Genomic DNA, 24,394 nt, shown 5'->3' on the forward strand with positions numbered 1-24,394 from the left:
TTCTGTTAAGTTCTGTATCCATATTTGTAATTGTCTATTATCTACTACTTTCTGGATAGACTCCAAGCTCCCTTTTAATAAATACTTAATTGAAAAACAAAAATTGTATATAGTCAATGTGTATAATGTAATGACTTGATATACACTGTGTAATGATTACCACAAATGAATTAACACATCTATTGCCACCCATCATTACCATCTGTGGGTGTCATGAGGAACTTAATACCTGCTCTTACCAAATCTCAAGGAAATAATATAGTATTATTAGCCAAGCATTTTTTAAAACTAGCATGCTGCAAACTGAGTTTATCATGGCTCCTCACCTGCTCCCACTCCCTTGGAATCCCTATGTCAGGCAATGGCATAATCAGCAGTTTTCCTACCTCAAATCTCTTTTTATATCTAGTCTGCTATAACATTTTGATTCCGCTTTATAAATACTTCCTGAAACTAGCCTCTTCTCTCCGTCTCCACTGATACTGCCTTAGACTCTTACAATGTCTAATATGATAATGACCTGCTAGCAAATTGGTAGTTCATTTGTTCAACATAAATGTATAGCATAACAACCATGTGCCAAGCACTGTTCTAAGAGGTAAGAATAAAAATGTTTTGCCCTAAAGGACAAGATTCAGACAGAGACAATTTTTGAAGATTCAGGCAGAGACAATTTTAAGACAATAGCAAAGTCCAGTGATAAAAGATAAGGATAGGGAATTACACAGTACTAGAAGAGGTACCTAACTCATCTTATGGTGGAGGGGTGGAGTATCAGGGAATGCTCTTTGGAGGAAGTGACACATTTGTTGCTTTTAAAGGATAACATACAGTTAAGCAAGCAAATAAGGATACAGTTATCTCAGGTAGAAGGGCAGAATTTGCGGGGTTACAAAGGCAAGTAAGAGAACAGCAGGTACAGAGACCCATGAACAGATCAGTATTATGTGACAATAAAATGAAAAGCAAGTAGGGAAGAGAGATGAGCCTAGACAGGGAGACAGAGGCCAGATTACAGAGTCTCACCCGTCATATGTCATGTAAAAAGGTCTTACACTTTATTCTGAGATTATATAAAGGCACTGAAGCTTTTTAAATAAGGAGGGGGCCAGATCTGCATACCGAACAGATCTCAATGTGCAATTATCTTATAAATTTAGTTGTTCTGTAATGTCCCCCAGTAGACTGTAAGTTCCTTAGAACAAAGACCCTGATTGTCTTATTCTCTGCTGTATCCCCAGTGCCTGGCAAAAAGAAAACAAATAATACTTGTTGCATGGATGGGTGAATGGATGGATGGTTAATGAAGTATTCCGTACTTTGTGAATAGTGTAGAGACAGGAAAAAAACGATACAGAATCTCTGATTTAGGAGGAAAAGAATCACTTTCCATCACAGTGCTTCTTCCAAATCATTGCCAGAATTACTAACTTAAAGTAGCAAATTTAATCTTGTTACCTCTGATTATAGTCCAAATTCCTTATTAGCATAGCACAGAAGAATCTTCACAATAGGTCTCCCCCACCACTGGATTCCAAGGTCTCCAATTATATTAATAGTTATTGTTAGCTAACATAGCTAGCACTTACAATGTGTAACAAATGGTTCTACAAGTTTTGTCTATTTAGTTAATACTTATAATAACCCTATGAAGTAGGTGTAGTCAATTGTCCAAGTTTCTAGATAAAGAAACTGGGTCACAGAGAGTTAAACAATTGCTCAAGTACACACAGCTAGTGACAAAGTCAGGATCCAAATCCAATCTATCTAACTTTAGAGCTGTACTCTTTACTGAAGTCTCCTTGTATACAAGGGCAAGGTCCATGTTTCATTCACTTCTTTATCCCCATAACAACTAGCACGGGGGTTGGCAGACGTTAAGTATCCAGAATATGACCACTACCATTTTGCAAGCAGGCCATGCTAAAATCAGTGCTTCAGCAATGACAAATGGTATTAACAGTCAGTCACCTCAAACTTGGTCTCACATTCTATTCATTACTAACTTCCAAGTATCTAGAAAAGGCATAGACAGCCGGACGTGGTGGCTCACGCCTGTAATACCAGCACTCTGGGAGGCTGAGGCCGGCTGATCACCTGAGGTCAGGAGTTCGAGACTGCCCTGACAACATGGCAAAACCCGTCTCTACTAAAAATACAAAAATTAGCCAAGCGTGGTCACGGGCCTGTAATCCCAGCTACTAGGGGGGCTGAGGCAGGAGAATCGCTTGAACCTGGGAGGCAGAGGTTGCAGTGAGCTGAGATTGCACCACTGCACTGCAGCCTGGGCAACAAAGCGAGACTCTGTCTCAAAAATAGAAAAAAAGAAAAGAAAAGTCAGAAAAATATATCTGACATCAGAAAATATATATTCCTGACATCAGAAAAATATATTCCTGACATCAAGAAAGAGTCATAGTAGGAAAGCTGGTAAGTGAGACAGGTGAAGTACACAGGAAACAGCAGCTGAAGTAATTAATTACAACTATTGGTTATAGATGTATCTGGTCCTAGTCCAAGGTCATCTCTACCCTACCAATATATCAAATACTATACTACTAAATGGCCAGATCTAATTTACCGGAGTTTTACCTGGTCAGCATAGCTGCAAAGGAAAAGAAAACTGTTCAACTAGAACATTCAGTTTTTCTAAAAACAGTCAACGGAAGCATGCAGTATTAGAATTTAGTGAAAAGGTTTAGAAAAGAACCACTGATGCATACCTACATCCTCTCAAATAAGAAAGCAGAACCAATCAAACAAAAATGAAAAATAAAACCTGGCTGAAAATAGGTATGCATTTGGTTACATATTCCATATACCATGATTTAGTGTGCCTCCTCAATGCCCTATTTCTTCGGTCAAAGTTTGTACAGTGTTTTGATGTATAATCACCACATTAAACTCAATGCTATGATCCCTTATGCCTCTCTCAGTTTTCCTAAATGGAGAGTGCAAAGAAAAGCACAAAAAGGGTTATAGCCAGTCTTTAATCTTTAATCATTTATTTAACTCAAAGTTATTCAGTATAATGGCTACTAGGAACCTGCCTTGGTTCTGGAGATACAACAGTGAGATCCTGCCTTTTCTTATAGAGAACTTATAAAATGATCATACGAGGGGATGTGACAGTGGGGAGTGGAGACTGACAGAGGGTTCTGATGTAGTCTGTGGGATCACAGAATAAACTCAGAACTTTGACTCAAAGTATAAGTAGTTCTTAACTGTCCTAAAGAGGAGAGAGGATGTCAAGTGTTCCATATAGAAAACTAGGAAAAGAAAGGCAAACTGAAACCATAAGGAGACAAATGCAAATCTTTGCAGATTCCTTAGTGAGTACCCTAATTATACTTAGAACATAACAATTGTTTAAGCCAGCCTTGAATCCTTAAAAAGAAATGTATGTTGGATTTGCCTAATACAATGTCAAGGTTTTTCCCTCAAAAAACTATCCCTCACTTTATGTTCAAGTCCTAACAAAATATCTCCTATTACTGGTTATCTCTCTTGTATGTTTGATTTTGAATGGCAAAGCTGTGTTTGGTAAAGATACGCTGACCTGAGCCAACTTCAGTCAATGCTAGCTTTTATTTATAGAGACTATTTGACTTGCTAGTTTAAAGAGGAAAAATTTAATATAAATATGGTAATTATTACTGAAGGTATAAATATGAACTTATACTTTTCAAGTATTGCTTGAGTCTTAAAACTTTTAAAGATCACTTAAGCAATTTAGTATAGTGAGAATATTGTAGATGACAGTAGTACTATGATTACAGGTCAAGTTTTAAAAACTGGCAAGTTACAGAAATAAATAATTATAGCTTAGAATAAATTTTCCAGGAAGAGATTCATATACAGAATCCAAAATCATTGCATTCTGAAAAAACAAGATGGACAAGAAGATGATGTTCACTGGAAAACTGGGGTTCTAGTAATATAACAATATAATTAATAGCACAAGAAGACTGTGTGCTATTTAATTTATATTCATAAAAGCAGGCACATCCAAGTTGTTCAACTTCTTTAAATTTCTCACTGGGACTGAAGATGATGCATTATGTGAGAATGGCTTACATTTGAGCATATAAAATACTTTAAGATAATTTATTTCTAAATAAGGAAAAGCCAAGTACTTTCTAAGAACATTACCAAAGAACTATCTAAGAACTCAACCAAGGCATGTCAAATCTAGAAAGATATCCAGAGATTACTGCAGAGTCCATGTCATTCATCTTACAGATAAAGGATCCGGTCCAGAGGAAAGGATTTGCCCACTGTCATTCATGGCACTAGTGGAAATCCAAGTCTCCTCTCATTCAAGGGCTACACAACCTTTACTCATGCCTTAGAAGTTACAAAACAAGACATGTCTTTCTATGAAGATATTCTTAGAAGCAGTCTGTCTGCTATTTAAAATTCACATTTGATTGTTGGTATATCTGGCAGTTTCATATTGATACGGCCTTAGACTGAATTAAGACCTAGAGCCCCCAGTTTGTGATGGAACACAGTACCCTTTACTAAACCCTCAATTTTACCTTACAGATCAGTGTTATCTAATCTAAGGACTTCCTATACTAGATTCACTTGGGGTTTTCTTTAAAACTGCAAATTACTGCATTCCCCCTAAGCATATTAACCAATTTCACTTTCTGAGGGTGAAGAACAGAAATCTGCATTTTTGCCAAGATTACCTGGTAATTTTTGGGCACATTAAAGTTTGAAAACCACCAATCTAGAGATTCATTTGGTCTCTAGACCATTAGCTTTCAGCTATCTGTTGCAACTGGAATCTGTACCAGATCATAAAAAAGAGCTCCTCTGTTTAGAGCATGTCATAAAAACTAAGTCAAAGGTAAGGAAAAGGTAGCCTTTAGTTCAACAAAGGCAATTACTATACTAGCATACCTTTAAAAAACAAACAAACAAACAAACATGAGCTATGCAAATTATTCATGTCACATGGGACTGAAATGGGACCCCAAGGGTAAAAGAATCTAAGCAAATAAACACCAAATAAGCAATTCATTATCTGGCTTTCTGTCATGGGAACATACTCTTGTAGCAAAATGAATGCACAAAGAAAAATGATTCTAGAAGTCTAAAGACAACTATTCCTTAACTTCAACAGAGTTCTTCATGAATCAAGATGTTAACATCCTGGGCCTTTAGGGATTAATTTTTCTCTGCAAACTATCATGTTTCATTTTGTACTATCCTTCTATAAAAGTGCTAAAGGTACTTTACAAGCCGTTTAAAATACGTATCAATGTTATCTTATACTACAGAATTACTCTTCTAAAGCAAATTTACTATCTAAGCATTACATATTTCCAGAGTTGAGGATTTTCTTCACCATAATTCAAAATACTAGTTTTTTCACTACAACTAGTCTATAAGAAGTTAATAGACATTGTATGCCACTTAAACGATACAAAACTTTTGTAAAATGAAAGAAACAGCTTAAAATTTATATTATTTAAGCTTCCAGTTCAAATATTAAAATGTTTTATAACCTCAAAAATACTATTTAACTATATACTCCTAAAAACAATCATCTAAGAAATACAGGTCAGTAGATTGTTGAGAACATGTAAAAAAAAGAAAAACACATTGCAATTTAGATAGTTTCTAAAACTGGATCTAAAATATTTAAGTTTCAGTGTAGAAGGCAGAAATCAAAGAATATTTTATCCAGTCTAATTCAGACCAGTGATTATAACTGAAATATAAAATACACAGTAAACAGATGGTGTTCAGCTCTTTTAAAGAAAAGGTAAATTCTTATTTCAATCCTAAAGCAGCCTATAGGCCTGATACTATTGTAAAAAATTTATCCTTAGATAAGAGGGCAGCATGGTTTATGACAACAATCTACCTAAAAACTCATTAAAGTCTTTTCTCTTGGAGTGACATGCATTATCAGCAGAGATTAATCTGATGAGTCTTTAGGTGAATTCCATTTTTAAAAATGCAATAACAGAGGGCTTTGTTGTCATCTGATGAAAATCAATTAGAGGAGGTAAGGCCACAAGGAAAACTAACATCACTCATCACCCACCCCCTGGCAGCTGAAATGATTTGTCTTCCAAGCTTGGATGACCAGGAGCTATAGGCATATTGCAGGGAAATTAATTTAGTTTCTATATTCTGAACTCACTATTCTTGTTCTGGAGGACCTAAACACAAATTACTTTTAATCAAGGTTGATATGTTATTAATACCAAGGAGGATCTTTGAAGAATCTTTTTCTTAAAACTGACTTCAGCATTTTTCACTTGTGTTTGGGATATGTGTGTGTGTATATGTATATATATATATATATATATATATATATATATGTATATATATATGAATATATATATGAATATATATATATGAATATATATATATGAATATATATATATATATATATGAAGGTTACTTATATCATCCTTACTTTCTGGATTCTTTGTCCACTACAAGGCACTGTACTGAATGGCGAAGACAATAAATTCCACCAAACACAGCACACATCCTAGAAAGAGAACAGAAAAATAAGAATTAGGGTAATTGGGTTGAAAATAAAGGTAAAAGTATTTTCTTTTAAGTATTTTACACTTCATAACTGGTATTACAGAAAAAACATTTTGATAATGTACTATTTTCTCTATCATAGTATTAAAAATCTCTCAGAGGCAAGATTAGTAATATCTTGACACAGTAGAGGTGTTACTGATAATAATACAATGCTGACACTTAGAACTGTGAGCAAACCAGAAGTGTCCCTAAGCAAGAGCCAATTATCCCCCGAAAATCAGCTCCTGCCTACCTAAGGTACAAAGAACACAAACAGCTTCAAGAGGTAATGCATGTATGACAAACCCAAGAGAAATCACCATTGAGAAGTGTTAAAGAGGAATTAAGCAGGGAAGACTCTGGAAAACTCCTAGATATTTTACTTACAATAAATGTAAACAAAATCTCCAGTAGCCAAAACTAAACTGGGAACTGAAAGCTAGAGCAGTAAACATGAGTAAATGCAGCAGAAGCCCTAGGGAGTGTGTCTATCTCAGTAGTAATCTAAGTGCATAAGTTTTAATGCACACATAAGGAGAGGAGAGGCCTTAAGATCCAAACAAGGCAGTAAGTAGGAAAGGAGATATTTTCTTATAATATCTGGATTATTAAAGAGCTATGCCTCAGTTAAAGGGTAACCAAGAAAAGAAATCCACGTACAAAAAGAGGGAGAAAACAAGCAAAAAAACCCATTTTTCTTTGGGTGGATCCCTGAATGGAGGAAGATTACACTGTGTATTTATTAATATTATCAGTAGTCTGCCCTCATACATGTTAGGGGTTTGAAATTATACCACTATATGATACAAGAAACTCTTAGCCAATAAAATATAAAATATCATGAGAAGTGGTTCTGGGTCAGTGAGTAGACTCCTGGACACTTAGGGGAAGCAATGGCTAAAGCTTTCTGGTGGAATAAGACTAACCAAGGCCACATGAGATTGCCACAGATAGAGTCCCTAGATGATGAGTTTATAATCTAAAATTATACAACACATGAGGAAACACATCTTACTTTGAGTGAGCAGACAAAAGAAATAGGATTAAACTCCCCAAAATGATATTCGGATGGTATAACTATCTGATTGAGATTATAAAATGGGTATGCTTAGGGTGAATGAATCAAAAACACAGGAAAATAATAATGGAATGTCCAGAAAGACGACTATGGTAGGCTGAAAAATGCACTCTCCCATTAAGATGCTCACATTTTAATCTCTGGCTCCTGTGAATATATTACCATATCTGGCAAGAAGGACTTTACAGTGGTGATTAATGCACTGATCTTGAGACTGGGAGATTATTCTGGTGGGTGCAACATAATCACAAGTGTCTTTAAAAGAAAGAAGTGGCCAGGGAGCAGAGGCTCACACCTGTAATCCCAGCACTTTGGGAGGCCGAGGCAGGCGGATCACCTGAGGTCAGGAGTTCTAAGACCAGCCTGGCTAACATGGTGAAACCCCGTCTCTACTAAAAATACAAAATTAGCCAGGTACGGCGGTGCATGCCTGTCATCCCAGCTACACGGGAGGCTGAGGCAGGAGAATTGCTTGAATCTGGGAAGCAGAGATTGCAGTGAGCCAAGATCGTGCCACTGCACTCCAGCCTGGGTGACAGAGTGAGACTCCATCTCAGAAAAAAAAAAAAAAAAAAAAAAAAAGGAAAGAAAGAGGCAGGGCCCACGCCTGTAATCCTAGCACTTTGGGAGGCCAAGGCAGGCAGATCACCAGATGTCAGGAGTTCGAGACCAGCCCGGTGAAACCTTGTCTCTACTAAAAATACAAAAATTAGCTGAGCATGGTGGTGCACACCTGTAATCCCAGCTACTTGGGAGGCTGAGGCAGGAGAATCACTTGAACCTGGAAGGCGGAGGTTGCAGTGAGCTGAGATTGTGCCAGTGCACTCCAGCCTGGGCAACAGAGCAAGACTCTGTCAAAAAAAAAAAAAAAAAAAAAAGAAAGAAAGAAAGAAAGAAAGAAAGAAAGAAAGAAAGAAAGAAAGAAAGAAAAAAGGAAAAGGAAAGGAGAAAGGAGACGGGAGAGGAGACTGGAGGACAGGAGGCAGGAAGGCCAAAGTCAAAGAAGATGATGTGAAGACAGGAGTAGACGTCAGAATGATCCCACTGTTGGAAGTGGGGCACATGCCAAGGAATGCAGGCAGCTTCTATATGCTAGAAAAGACAAGGAACAGATTCTCCCCTAGTGGCCCGAGAAGAAATGCAGCCCTGCCAACCAGTTTTAAACTTCTGACCTCCAGGATGGTAAGATAATAAATTTGTGTTGTTATAAGCTACTAAGTTTGTTATGGCACCAATAGGAAAGTAATAAAAAGATCCATGAATGTATGGAAATGATGACAGAAGTGGCATTACAAAACAGTGGGGAAAGAATGGAACCTTGAAAAAATGATTTGGAAGGAGAAGAGCCAAGATGGCACACTAGACACAGCCAATAAAAGCTTCTCCCACCAAGCGAGACCAGACAATCAAGTAGACAAGCATACTGCGAACAGATCTTCAGGAAGAAGGCACTGAGAGTGGATATACGGAGAAAGAATGCAGGCCCCAGGGCTGAAAAGGGAGGAGGCCGAGAAGACTCCATGGGGTTGCCAAACACCAAAACTTGTTCCTGGCCACTAGCGGCTCCTAAAGAAGGGGTGAGTGAAATAGGCATAGAATGGTTCACCTTTGTCATGGACCTCTGGAATGCTAGATGCAGGAGCCCCTATGAGCCCCATGGACATTTGAGATGGCAAGGAGAATTGCTCGGAGAGTTGGTAGAGACAGAAATCCAGTATACTTGGAGCCCAGAAGGTTTGGCACGGGAAGAGTTGCAGTGGAGCACAACCAAGGGAGCCCATCCCCCAAGGCTCACCATGCTCCTCTAGGTGGTTTTACCCTTTGTGAGCAACTGGACCTGGAGATTGCAAGTCTATCTTACCTGCAGGATTGGGCCGGTGTGATCTAAACAAACCCCCATGTGCTGATATCTCCTCTGGCCACACCTGCTTGCAGCACAGCCTCAGCTGCCCTGACAAAATCCTTGCCAGAGTTCACTGTCATAGATCATTGACTGACAGTCTCCACCTTCCCATCAGAGTATTTTTGAAGACAAACCTCCCCCAGTGAGCATCCACTTGCAGCCTCCCCTCAACGGTGCGCACTCAACTACAGCCTCCCCAAGCCACGCTGCCAGGGCCCACATGCATAAGAATCTACCACCACCACATCAGCGCCCATGCACACACAAACCAACCACAGTCCCACTGACACACTGGGAGCCCTTCCCTCAGCGATACCATTGCTGCAGTCACCCATGGAGCCCAACACTGCCCTGCTAGTATACACTTGCCTGTGCCCCAGCTGCCACAGCACCCATTCTGTGCCTCCCACGCCCAATTGCAGCACTTTTGCTGGCAGCCCCTGTTGAAGAATTGTTGCCATTGGAATGGGAACACCTCACCTTCTCCAGCACAGCAGGTGCTTGACCTCAATAAACCAGAACAAAGTAGCAGGCCTGGTCCCAGCCACCTAGGGTTAGAGCATGCAGCCCAGGACAGGTGAGCTGAGCCTTGGCCACCTGAAAGTACCCAGAAAGGAAGCCAATGAAATAAACCCAACTTATACCACAAACAAACCTTCAAAAAAATAAAAAAATATAAAAGCAAAAAACCCATATAAAAAAAAACCCGGCAACTTCAGAGGTTAAACACCAGCTCACACAGACGAGAAAGAACCACCGTAAGAATTCTGGAAACCCTGGCATCATCCAGATACCAAAACCTGGCAGAGATATAACAGAAGAAGAAAACCTCGGGCCAATATCCTTGATTATTTCAATAGATGTATCAAAGACTTTCAATAAAATTCAAAATCCATTCATGTTTAAAATGCTCAATAAGTTAGGTATTGAAGGAACATGGCTCAAAATAATAAGAGCCATCTATGACACACCCACAGTCAATATCATGCTGAATGGGCAAAAGCTGGAAGCATTCCCCTTGAATACTGGCACAAGACAAGGATGCCCTCTCACCACTCCTATTCAACACAGTATTGGAAATTCTGGCCAGGGCAGTCAGGCAAGAGAAAGAAATAAAGTGCATCAAAATAGAAACAGAGGAAGTCAAACTATCTTGTCTGCAGATGACATGATCCTATATCTAGAAACCCCATAGTCTCAGCCAAAAGTTTCTTAAGCTAATAAACAACTTAAGCAAAGTCTCAGAATACAAAATCAATGTACAAAAATCACTAGCATTCCTATACACCAACAACTGTCAAGCTGAGAGGAAAATCAGGAAAGACCACCATACACAATTGCCACAAAATGAATAAACTACCTAGGAATACAGCTAACTAAGGAGGTGAAAGATCTCTCCAAGGAGAACTACAAACCACTGCTGAAAGAAATCAGAGATGACACAAACAAATGGAAAAACATTCATGCTCATGGATATGAAAAATCAACATTGTTAAAATGGCCATACTGCTCAAAGCAATTTATAGATTCAATGCTATTTCCATTAAACTACCACTGACATTCTTCAAAGGACTACAAAAAAAACTATTTTAAAATTTATATGGAACCGTAAAACAGCCTGAATAGCCAAGGCAATCCTATGCAAAAAGAACTAGGCTGGAGGCATCAGGCTACCTGACCTCAAACTATACTACAGGGTTACAGTAACCAAAGCAGTATGGTACTGGTACAAAAACAGACACATAGACCAATGGAACAGAATACAGAACCCAGAAAAAAGACCACACACCTACAACTATCTGACCTTTGACAAACCTGACAAAAACAAGCAATGGGGAAAGGATTCCCTATTCAATAAATGGTGCTAGGATAACTGGCTTAGCCACATGCAGAAGATCAAAACTGGACCCCTTCCTTACACCATATATATATCTAAATTAACTCAAGATAGATTAACAACTTAAATGTAAAACCCCAAACTATAAAAACCCTGGAAGACAATCTAGGAAATACCATTCTGGACATAGGCATGGGCAAAGATTTCATGACGAAGATGCCAAAAGCAATTTCAACAAAAGCAAACATTGAACAATGGGATCCAATTAAACTAAAGAGCTTCTGCACAGCAAAAGAAACTATCAACAGAGTAGCCAACCTACAGAATGGGAGAGAATTTTTACAATCTATCTATCTAAGGTCTAATATCCAGCATCTATAAGGAACTTAAAGTAATTTAAAAGAAAAAAATCACCCCATTAAAAAAGTGGGCAAAGAATATGAACACACACTTTTCAAAAGAAGACATACATGCAGCCAACAAGCATATGGAAAAAAGTTCAGCATCAGTTATCATTAAAGAAATGTAAATCAAAACCACAATGAGATACCATCTAGCACCAGTCAGAATGGCTATTACTAAAACATCAAAAAATAACAGATGCTGGTAAGGTTGTGGTGAAAAAGGAATGCTTATACACTGTTGGTGGGAGTGCAAATTAGTTCAACCATTATGGATGACTGTGGAGATTCCTCAAGGACCTAAAGACAGAAATACCATTCAACTCAGCAATCCCATCACTGGGTATATACCCAAAGGAATATAAATCATTCTATTGTAAAGACAACATACACATGAATGTTTATTGCAGCACTCTTCACAACGGCAAAGACACAGAATCAACCTAAATGTCCATCAATGACAGAATGGATAAAGAAAATGTGGTACATATACACTGTGGAATACTATGCAGCCATAAAGAAAGATGAGCTCATGTCCTTTGCAGGGACATGGATGGAGCTGGGGGCCATTATCGTTAGCAAACTAACACAGGAACAGAAAACCAAATACTACTTGTTGTCACTTATAAGTGGGAGCTAAATGATGAGAATATGTGGTCATATAGAGGGGAACAACATACACTGGGGCCTATGGGTCAAGGGAGGCTGGGAGGAGGGAGAGGATCAGGAAAAATAACTATAGGGTACTAGGCTTAATACCTGGGTGATGAAATAATCTATGCAACAAATCACCATGACACAAGTTTAGCTATGTAACAAACCTGCAAATGTAGCCCTGAACTTAAAATCAAAGTTTTTTAAAAAAGAAAAAAACAAACAAAATACAATTCTGGCGACCCTAAAAGGCAGAGTGTCTTCTTACCTCCACACAACCACGCTAGCTCTATAGCAGTGGTTCTTAACCAGATTGAAATGGCTGAAATGACAGACATATATTTCAGAACCTGGATGGGAAGAAAGCTCAATGAGATAGAGGAGAAGGTTGAAACGCATCCAAGTAAAGCAGTAAAATGATCCAAGAGTTGAAAGATGACTTAGCCATTTTAAGAAAGAACCAAACAGAACTTCTGGAAATAAAAAAAAATCACTACAGGAATTTCATAATGCAATTGGAAGCATAAATAACAAAATAAACCAATCTGAGGGAAAAAAAAAAAACCTCAGAATTTGAGGAGTGATGCTTCGAATCAACACAGACAAAATTTTTTAAAAGAACTGAAAAACTGAACAAAACCTCTGAGAAATATGGGACTACATAAAGAGACCAAACCTATAACACATCCGCATTCCTGAAAGAGATGGAGATAGAGCAAGCAACTTGGAAAACATATTTGAGGATATCATCCATAAAAATTTCCCCAACCTTGCTAGGGAGGTCAACACACAAATTCAGGAAATTCCAAGAACCCCTGTGAGATAGTATGCAAGATGACAATCCCCAAAACACAGTCATCAGATTCTCCAAGGTCAACTCGAAAGAAAAAGTCTTGAGAGCTGCTAGAGAGAAGGGGGAGATCAGGTACAAAGGGAACCCCATCAGGCTAACAACAGACCTTTCAGCAGAAACATTACAAGCCAGAAGAGATTAGGGGCCTATATACAGCATTCTTAAAAAAAGAAATCCCAACACAAAATTTCATATCTAGCCTAAGTGTCATAAGCAAAGGAGAAATAAAATACTTTTAGACAAGCAAATGCTAAGGGAATTCGTTACCACCACACCTACCTTAAAAGAGATCCTCAAAGGACCTAAATATGGAAAAGAAAGATACTTGCCAGCAGAAAAAACATGCTGAAGTACATAGACCACTGCCACTATAAAGCAACCACACAACCAAGTCTACAAAACAACCAGCTAACAATATGATGACAGGATCAAATCTTCACATATCAATACTGACCTTGAAAGTAAACAAGATAAACGTCCCACTTAAAAGGCACAAAGTGGCAAGTTGGATAAAGAAGCAAGACCCAACAGTATGCTGTCTTCAAGAGGCTCATCTAACATGCTGTGACACCCATAGGCTCAAAGTAAACAGTTGGAAAAAGATTCATCAAGCAAATGGAAATGCTATTCTTATTTCAGACAAAACAGACTTTAAGCCAAAAATCATCAAAAAAGACAAAGAAGGGCATTACATAATGATAAAGGTTTCAATTCAATAAAAAGACTTAACTATCCTAAATGCACCCAACACAGGAGCACCCAGATTCATAAAACAAGTTCTTAGTGACCTACAAAGAGACTTAGATAACCACACAATAATAGTGGGAGACTTCAACACCCCACTGATGGTGTTAGATTACTGAGGCAGAAAAATAACCAAGATATTGAGGACCTGAATTCAGAACACCCTACCCAACAACGACAGAATATACAATATTCTTATCTGCACATAGCAAATACTCTAAAATCGACCACATGTTCAACCATAAAGCATATACACACAGAAAAAGAGCATTAGATAAAACTTCATATTATTGAATCAATTCTCCACTGGAGAAAAATAACTTTTAAATGTCTTTCCACATTACAAGAAATACAAAGGAATAAATTCAGAACCCACTGGAAGCTGTATAAGGTTAAAACTATATACAGGTTAAAAATATATAAAACAATATGCCACAGGCTATTACATTATCAAAAGCCTAAATAATCCACTTAACCAAAATTAAATGTAATTTTCTATAAAGACCTCCTTTTATGAAATAGTATAATGTTTATGAAATATACTATTACTTTATAATATTAAGTATCCTTTTCCTTGAAAATTAATTTTATGAAGTATTTTTAGGCTAAATGGGGCCTCAAATACATTTAAATACAGTTATAGATGCCGAGATACAGGGACATCTATAACTACTTATAGTAAATCATCAAAAAATTACCTGATTTTCAACAATATGATTTATTAACAGTGGATATATACTATATGGAAAAAAAACACAAGAATGTAAAGAATGTTAAGAACTAGTGTGAATGATGGGAAATATTATAGAAGAAGTTTAATAATGAGACAGAATTGTGATAATTCATTTAAATATCCTCTTAATTTTAAATGAGAACATAAGAAGTATTTTGTGCTCTTGGAAAGGTATATGGTTACATGTGCACATACATTTTTCATATTGCTTCTCATTTGTTTTTCCCCCATACCAGTCTTTGTTAGAAAGGGAAGCTATGTGTAGCTCATAATGGCAGCATTTGTTCTCTGTCACCTCTGTATTTTCTTCATGTATCTTATGCCCAAGTGAAAAAAAAAAGTGATTTGTAAGAAGTGCCACACAAAATGAGTATTGATATAAAGACTCCTCTGTATGCTATTCTTATCAGTCATTCCGATAGTCTTTAAAAAAAATAAGTTTTGGTTGGGGGTGTAAGGATTACTTGGTGTCAACGAGCAATAGTGGAAATCTTTTTTGTTTTTGTTATTTTTATTTTTATTTTTTTTTTTGAGATGGAGTCTCGCTCTGTCGCCCAGGCTGGAGTGCAGTGGCGCGATCTCGGCTCACTGCAAGCTCTGCCTCCCTGGTTCACGCCATTCTCCTGCTTCAGCCTCCCGAGTAGCTGGGACTACAGGCGCCCACCACCACACCCAGCTAATTTTTTCTATTTTTTAGTAGAGACGGGGTTTCACCGTGTTAGCCAGGATGGTCTCGATCTCCTGTCCTTGTGATCCGCCCGCCTCAGCTTCCCAAAGTGCTGGGATTACAGGCGTGAGCCACCGTGCCCGGCCCAATAGTGGAAATCTTTTGTAAGTGGGTAAGAAGCACAGTAGTAGGGAGTTCTTGAGAGCTGTATTCAAAACCCAAATAGGAGGCATTTACATGAGAAGTAGGGAATTACATGTGGGGAAATAACTATTGGCTACATACTGTTCTTTGGGGCACACAGCCAACAACAACAACCATACAAATAATAATCACAACTAGCATTGAGTGCTTACTACACAACAGATGTTTTACATGTATTAACACATTGTATCCTACAATAATCCTATAAGCCAGGGTTTCACAGATTTGGAAACTGAGGAAGAGGTCAAGTGACTTGCTTGAGGTCATTTAGGAAATGGTATTGCTGGGGTAAAAATCCAAGTGATTTGGTCTCAGAGGTTTCTCTGTTAACCATCATACCAACCTGCCCCATTGTCAGTATTATCTTTCTTGGGATTATGAAGGAAAGCAACAGAATCAGATGATCAAAGTTACTCTAAGACTTGTTCTAATTCCTGTTGAATTGCAAAAATTATTACAAAGAGTAAAATAATCCCTCAACTTCTACACATTATTTTCTCTCAAGAAAGTACATGTTTATTCTGTCTGTACATGTTAAATGGATTATGTGTGACTTCATTTTAGATAGTGCAAAAACTCAAAGTATAACCATGGGAATAGTGGTCTTCAGAGTACCTAGCAAATTATGACTATCTTGTAATCCATATTTTAAAATGTGATGTATAAAGTATACTGGTAAGCTAGAAATTTTTAAATAAAGAAAAAGCTGTGAGTAGAAGGTAAATACTTTACCATGATTTTGGGGGAGGTAATAAGTTTCCACATGACACGTTTTCTTCCAGTGCATTAAATGGCAGCCTAACAACCCAAAGGTTAACACGTCTTAGTGAAGGACAATTAAGCAACCAAAGATGGCAAACATCTCTGAGATGTCAGGTAGGCTCCATCTTTGGTGCAGTTTACAGAAGCCATCCTAAGGCCTAACATAACACCTGGCAAGACAGCTCTGTACACCTCCCTTCCAAAGGGTAGTATGCAGCCTAGAGGCAAGCAAGTATAAATTTTGCAGGACTTATCTAAAAAAGAAATCTACTAAACACAGTAGGTAGGACTGTCCCCAAAAAAGTCACTACAAAAATACATTTGAACTCTTCATCAAATTCCATTAAAAACAAACCAAACAAAAAGGTCTGTTACAAGAGAAAAATTAGAGTGACCATTGATCATCAATGTGCTTTAGTGACACCCCAGCTAAAACCGTAAACTGAAAAGCAGAAGTTCCATTCCAACAGTAAGTAGGCATGCCTACATGTCACGAGACACTGTAAGACTTCAGTGATTGCATCTATCTACAAAAAGTTCAACTTTGTTTCTTGTAACTATATTCATACATATGCATTTATCATAACACTATATTTAAAACAACATATTGAGTTTTCTGTCATGTTGTAATGTTGACCTGATTGGTGGCTGCCAGTCTGAAAAAATACATGTAGGGAAATCTAAATGCATGTATTTATTTTTATATACACACACACACGGGAAGGGGATCCCAAAAGTCTTTACACACATGTGCATGAACTATAAATGCAGTATTTACACACATGTGCATTTACACACATGTGCATGTGGTATTTACACACATATGCATGAACTATAAATGCAGTTTTTACACAGGATGGTCTTAGTGCTGTTTACACACATGTTCATGCACTATAAATGCAGTTTTACTATATACTGTAGATCAGATAGCATGTTTGTGGGTTACATACTTATATTGCATATTTATATTACTAAATCATGTAGTAGTAATATAAATGATATAAATATGCAATATAAATATGTAACCCACAAACATGTTATATGATCTACAGTATAAAGTAAATTATCAGAGTTTTCACTTATGCTAACATTCCCCCCTTTTTTTTCTTCCTTTCTTGGTATTTGGTATCTTTCTTTGAGCAGGAAGTAGAGGGAAGGAGAATATTTGTATGGTGGGTGTCAGAAGTAAATGCTGTATTTTGCTGTAGTGGGTCTGGCTCCTGGGAAGGCAAAATTGGACGGCATATGCCATAGCATCATCTCTCCCCAAGATCCCTGCTAAGACTCAAGCTATTGGAATCCAACTCAGCATGGACTTCCTATTGGCCTGAAACAGAATGCTTCCTCAAGAGCAGTAGCTAAATACAGATGCTCCTTGCCTTGTAAACTGAAAATATCAATGGGTATAATGGGACACAACTCCATCATAAGTTGAGGAGTGTACTGAATGTGTATCACTTTCATACCATTTTAATGTCAAGAAAACCTTAAATCAAACCAAGTTGGGGATGATCTTTCATAGGCAATGACTCCTGCAGCCTCAGGAAACAGTTACGTTCAAAACAATCCCAAGCCAGGCCTCATCCTCTGCTACAAGCTCTTGAAACTCATTATCTATAAGGTTTTACTCTATTCAGCAAGGCCATCAAAAAAGCCTTCAAATGAGTGTTCCACTACAACATAGCCTCATTCACAATGATCCAGTATTGCCAAAACAGCAAGCGTGACCTGATATGAGTCATGATGACAGAAGTTGAGTGGGCTTGTTTAGCAAGCAGTGATCACCAAAATCAAAATTACTAGGTCACTAGAAGTCAAGTGTATAACTTTAGTAATGATGTGCAAATTGCAAAGAGATCAACTCGTGGGGGTGATTGTGAAATTAATGTGGACATTCTAACTCTTGAGTCAGACTGCCTAGGTTCCTTTCCCGATTCCTCCCACTTACCAGCTGTGTGACAGTGCTTCAGTTCTCAAGACTATAAAATGGGGATAATGATATCTATTGCATAGACTTGCCACAAGGATTAAATGGGTTAATACATGTAAAGTGCTTACTATCTGCCTGGTGCATGGTAAATGTTAAATACATCAACGCTTTTGTTAGCTATCATCTTCCGTAGCAAAGGAGATAATAATTACAGATTGTACCACCAATGTGGGGTTTGTAGGCTACATTGCTCTTATTGACTGTGTGAGAGTCCACCTCCAGGTGTTCAAGCCCTGTAGTTTCTAACAGAATTCAAGCAACTTGGGGACCTGGTCAATTCAACTACCTTCTACAGAGGAACTTGTGACAGTTTTAAGAGAAGTGTTAATGCTGATGGCAACAAGCAACAACATTTATACTTTTATGCACAAATATTTGTAGAACTAGGTCTACTATGTACCAGGTATAATTCTGGGCACTGGGGATACAAAAGTATGCGAGACAAATGCTGTCCCTGCTGTCATATAACTTACCTAGTACAAGAGAGAGACAACAAACAAGAAATAAGAGTAGATAGTGGTAAGTGTTCTGAAGATAATAAAACAGGATAAGGTGAAGGTGATATGGGGGTTGGAACATTAGACAGGGTATTCAGGGACAGTCTCTTTGAGGAACTGGTATCTGAGCTGAGACCTGAATGATCAGAAGAAACTGACCACATGAAAGGGTGGAAGAACATTCCAAGCAGAAAGAAAATGAAATTTCAAAACTTGAAGTGCAAGCTAGCTCAGTGTATTTGAAGAAGAAGAGAGATGGCTAAGGGAGATGGATCACAGTGAATAGGGAGGAATACAGTAGGAAACGAGGACGCATATAGTTGGGGGCCTAATCATGCAAGGCTTTCAAGGCCAGGTTAAAGATCTTAAACTTTACTCTTAAGTACAATGAGTAGTACAACCAGCAAGTTTTGAGCAAGGCAGTGACATGATCAGATTTGTATTATTTTTAAAATGGGTCTGGCTGCTCTGTGGAGAATTCTCAAAGGGGCAAGAGTGAAAGAGGGGAGGCCAGTTATGTCTGCCATAAACCAAGTAAGAGAAGATGGTGACCTAAAGCAAGGTAATGGCAGTGCACATGAAGAAGTGGAGAGGCTGGGGACATATATAAGACATCAAGCTGACAAGAATTGCTAATAGACTGGAGGCAGAAGGGAGGTGTCTTCCTCAGAACAAGTATAAGGTAATGTGCACATTCATGAAAGCAGTCTCCCCCATGAAATGTGAAGCAATCAAATGCAACTGCTCAAGCCTGGTAGTCTTCCTATACAAGTATTGCTGTGAAGGAATACCCAGAAAGCACTCTTACTCCACCTGTGGGGTGATTATTAGAGACAGCAAATTGTTACCAACCTCAAAAACCACTACTATCTCTTGGCCATTCATCAAGATTACAACTTAATACTCTGGGTACTAATTTCTATATAGGAGGGCACAAGGAACAGGTTAGTTTCTGTGCCTTAAGGAGTCATCATGGACCTGGAATAACAGCACTGCTGCTAATTCAAGAAATTATGTAGTACAAGTATCTGAGTCTAGTGGGGCTTCTGGTGTGGATTTCCCACTCAAGGAAAAGGTTGTGGGCAGATGGACTGCCCTTTAGGAACTGCTGTCAATCTTGGAAGGCATAATCATCATGCTTAATCTAGAAAAAGCTGTCAAAAAAAACAACACATAGCCTTCAGAAAACTTGCTCCCAAAAAGTGCCTCCTTTTTATAAATCTTAGCCATTTATCTAGCTTCCTCTATTCTTGATGAGACTGTAGATGATACATTCAATATCTTTCAGTTTTTCCAGCTGTCCTTAAATTTAACCTTCTATAGGACAGTCACAGTAAAACTATGTATTGGATGACAAAAACAGATCTGTATTAGTAATTGTACCAGGGGTCCAGAATAAATTAGCACAAATTATAGACTACAAGTGATCACTCAATCTTTAAAACATAAAGCCTTCTAAAATACTGAGGGTCAACTTATATGTTTGGGTCAAACCCTAGCCTCCATATCTATGTTTCATAAGTACAGTGACCACCTGGTTTGTACAAGGGCCAGAACCACCGAACCAACTCAATGATTCCTCAATATAGCTTATCACAATGATGTCAATGGACATCATTTCAATGGAACTTTTGATGGAAAAGCACTGGTGTTTCCTGACTACTCTTTAAACACATCATAATTTAAACTAAGCTCTTAATAAAATTGCATTTTTCAGTCTGAACACCCATGCTATTTGCCCCATCTTTATTATCTGCCACAGAGATACCTAAGCAAATTCATTCAAAAATAGGTTTTTTAAATTCAAAAGAAAGCCTTTGGTTCAAACTTTTGGGGTGTAGCAAACTAGCCTACAGCAATCCTACTTAGAATCTCTATAAGATTTCTTTTGCTCAATCTCCTTTCTTGGGCTCTTTCTCTGGTTTAATGTCCTGTATGATATATATTCATTTTTGTTTTGAGTAATCCTTATTTAAATCATTGTTCCATTTTGCTGCCCAGTCTTGAAAATTCAAATTGTACAAATAACATAAAGGTAAAGAGACATCCATTTTGAATCCAGAAAGAATATACTTCTTTTACTTCTAATGCTCTTCATGGCTATGTTCAGGATTATGTTGGTTTTTCTGAATGTAGAAACAAAAATATCAAAAGTGAATGTCTTTAGGGAGCCCTACATAACAACTCCTAGATCTCTTTCATGGGTTGAAAAATGTACAGAGACCATCTTCTTAGAAACACGGCCACTCATGTCATTTTCCTGCTTTTTCACAGGGTCCTTGTGAAATAGTCCGTTAGCAAATACTCTTCAGCTTAGCATTTTATTTTACTATCTATAAGCTCTCAGCATCAACAATAAACTGGAAGGTGGGTTGGAAGTGTGTTACGATGCTGACTCTTAAATCATTTATAAAAATGTTAAAAAAAAAACACAAAAAACTAAACATTGATTCTTGGCAAAGCCTACTGTAAAAATCTCCCCATGCAAGTAAGAGCTCATATAAACCACCCCCTTCCTTCCATATTGTGTTTAAACTAGATCTTTATGCATGACTAAACATTATTCCCAACCCCATGGTGGGAGAACATTTATTTTTTAAAGCAGTCTTTGGTATAAAATCTTCTCAGAGGCTGTTTGGAAATTCAAATGTTCACTGGCTCCCCCTTGTTCATACCTTATTTACCCCTCTCAAAGAACTCTGTTAGATGGTTGAGATATAATTACCTCACAAAAACCATGTTCTTCCCTCCTGTGGGTTATATGTTCAAGAATTTCACCCTTTAGCTATTTTTCACAAAATTGACTGTCATGCCACGGTAATAGTTAGCCTTACTTCTCTGTGGTTTCTGGCCTGTTTCTTGAAACTTCAGAAGGAAAAAAAAAGAAAAAAACTATAGAATACTATATATTTCCTCTGATGAGAAAAAATATATATATTTCAATGCACAGCAAAAGATCAGGAAAGATACACCACAAACTGGCAAGAGCTATTACCTTCCGATAGAGGGTTAGGGGGCTAAGGATGAAATTGAGGAGGATAAATGCCTTAAGGGCACTCTGGCCTCATTTGTAATACTTCCATTTTTAATAGAGATTTTTTAATAATTAAAATTTAATTTAAAATAAAAATATCTCTCTCTGAGATGAGAGCCGGTGATAAAAGAAAGTTTAAGCCTTATTCTGAGTTATTCTTACATAGAATGCTCATACGTTTTACATAACAGTTATTTGCCATTTAATACCAAGATAATCTTCATACTTTTCAGAAGTTTTGGAGAGTTCTGAAATTAACACTATGGGAATACTAATTTGAAAAAATGGGCATTTATTTGAAATTAATACCTGTGTCTGACTACTGACCAAGAGTAAAGACAATTTTCCTCACTTGTAAGCATGGTTTTCTTTTGTAAAAAATTAGTTACAAAAAAAGAAAATGTCACTTTCAACTATACAAAATAAATTATACTGCCCAGTAATTTAAAAATTGTTTTCTAAGTTAGTACAGTCTTGGATTTTTTTTAAAAAATAAATTTACTTTAATAGGCTCTGACAAGAGTATAATGTTTGACTGTACAAAGCTGTGGCTGAAACTTGTAGTTAGTATCACCAGCTAGCTTCACGATTCCCATACGATTCCTGTATATGCAACTGTAAAAAAATACAAAACTCAGCAGCAAGGAATTTCCCATTTGTCCCATTTTAATTGAAGTTAAAAAGAATATGGGAATCCATGTAAATAGTTTCTGAGTAATGTGAAGTACTAAGTCTAATGAGATATTTTTCCTGCTTAAGTTTCAATTATTAAACTGCCACTTCAATTACTTGTTTACAAACTCGAGAAACATTCACTAAAGCAACTTAATATCTTTACAGTATATTATTCAGATAATTGCGTATATCTGGAGTATAATCTAATTCTTTGATGTTATTAACCCCAAACAACAGACATTTAAATCAATATAACTCTAATTGAGTATATTATATCCAACGAGTCAGATTTTACTGAAAGAGAGCATACCAACATGTACTGAATTTCAACTTTGCCCTGGTGACATCAAATTGCACTACAGATAAACTAAGAGTTGTCAAAATTTTTGGCTGGTAGCCCCCCTTCTACATATGCTTTACAAAAGCAATTTTGGTTCCTATCAAGGTACAAATCAGCAGTTGTAATTTTCTTAATCATAGCTGCAAAACAGTATGACCCACTAATAGCCGAACTTTTGACAGCACTATTCAAGATGATTTATGAGTTTGTATATAATTTGATTATTCTATTAATTCTTCTGATTACTGCTTCAGCTAATAAAGTGAAGGTCACTTCCAAAATAAATCTTCATTTCACAGAAAGTAACTGCATCCAACTAGTTTTCTTTAATTAAAAACTAATCTGTATAACAAGAAAGAAGACAGGCTTCAGGGTTAGGGAACCTGTTAAGAGAGAAATATACTGTGTGGACACAATGAAAGTGTCTCTTTATTCAGTATCTTTATTGTCAAAACATAAGAACTATTATATACATATGCATTCGTACTAATTTTAAATTATAAAAATAGGGCCGGGCGCGGTGGCTCAGGCCTGTAGTCCCAGCACTTTGGGAGGCCGAGGCAGGCAGATAATCTGAGGTCAGGAGTTTGAGACCATCCTGGCCAACATGGTGAAACCCCATCTCTACTAAAAATACAAAAATTAGCTGGGCATGGTGGCGGGCGCCTGCAGTCCCAGCTACTCGAGAGGCTGAGGCAGGAGAATCTCTTGAACCCAAGAGGCAGAGGTTGCAGTGAGCCGAGATCGCGCCACTGCACTACAGCCTGGCTACAGAGCAAGACTCCGTTTCAAAAAAATAAATAAATAAAATAAAAAATTATAATAACTGAACTGTATTAATGCTTTAGAAACTGAAAACATAAAAGAATCTTTGAAAATAGCTTCCAAATTCATAAGTGCAATATGTAAGGCAATGTTTTCATTTCTAAAATTATGCATGTGGGATTCTATATATGAAAAATGAACAGTAGGTCTTTGCCTTAACCGGAGTTTTTCCTAAAGGTGACAAGAGGCCATTTCTGCCCCTTAAGATAAACACTGGGCACAAGGCCATGACAGGCTGGAGGGAGATCAGAGAAAAAATGTCAAGGGACATTGATATATTATTATTATTTAATCTATTTTTACACACAGAACATTCTGTGTCCTGAATTTAATGCTTCATTTTATTATGTTTTTTAAAGTTCCCCAGCCCTTCAGCTAAGGTTCTATCATCAAAGCTGTTGAGTCATACAACTATATAAAAGCAATAAAGCAAATTAAATATGATGCATATTTTCCAAAAGAAGTAAAAAGTCTCAAACTCAGAAAATCATATACCAAAAGACAGAAAGCTTGAACGTAAGAAATTAGGGAAGCACAGTGATACATCAAAAAAGCAAGCAGCAATGATGTGTATGCTCACCAATGGCCTCCATTGGTATTGTCACAAACACACTCCTGATTAACTCCCTCACTCAA

The 24,394-nt window shown here is 37.4% G+C and overlaps 1 protein-coding gene across 8 annotated transcripts in view; it reads right to left on the reverse strand.

Moving 5' to 3' along the window:
* The window catches only part of CHM (CHM Rab escort protein), a 186,379-nt gene that overhangs the window by 43,639 nt on the left and 118,346 nt on the right, over positions 1–24,394 (reverse strand). For all 8 annotated transcript variants that reach the window (NM_000390.4, XM_047441793.1, NM_001362519.1 and 5 more), the window contains one exon: positions 6,443–6,520. In NM_000390.4, the coding sequence (NP_000381.1) occupies positions 6,443–6,520 (78 nt within the window). The remainder of the gene's footprint in view (positions 1–6,442; positions 6,521–24,394) is intronic.

Source organism: Homo sapiens, chromosome X (assembly GCF_000001405.40).
Source record: "Homo sapiens chromosome X, GRCh38.p14 Primary Assembly".
Taxonomy (NCBI): Eukaryota; Metazoa; Chordata; class Mammalia; order Primates; family Hominidae; genus Homo; species Homo sapiens.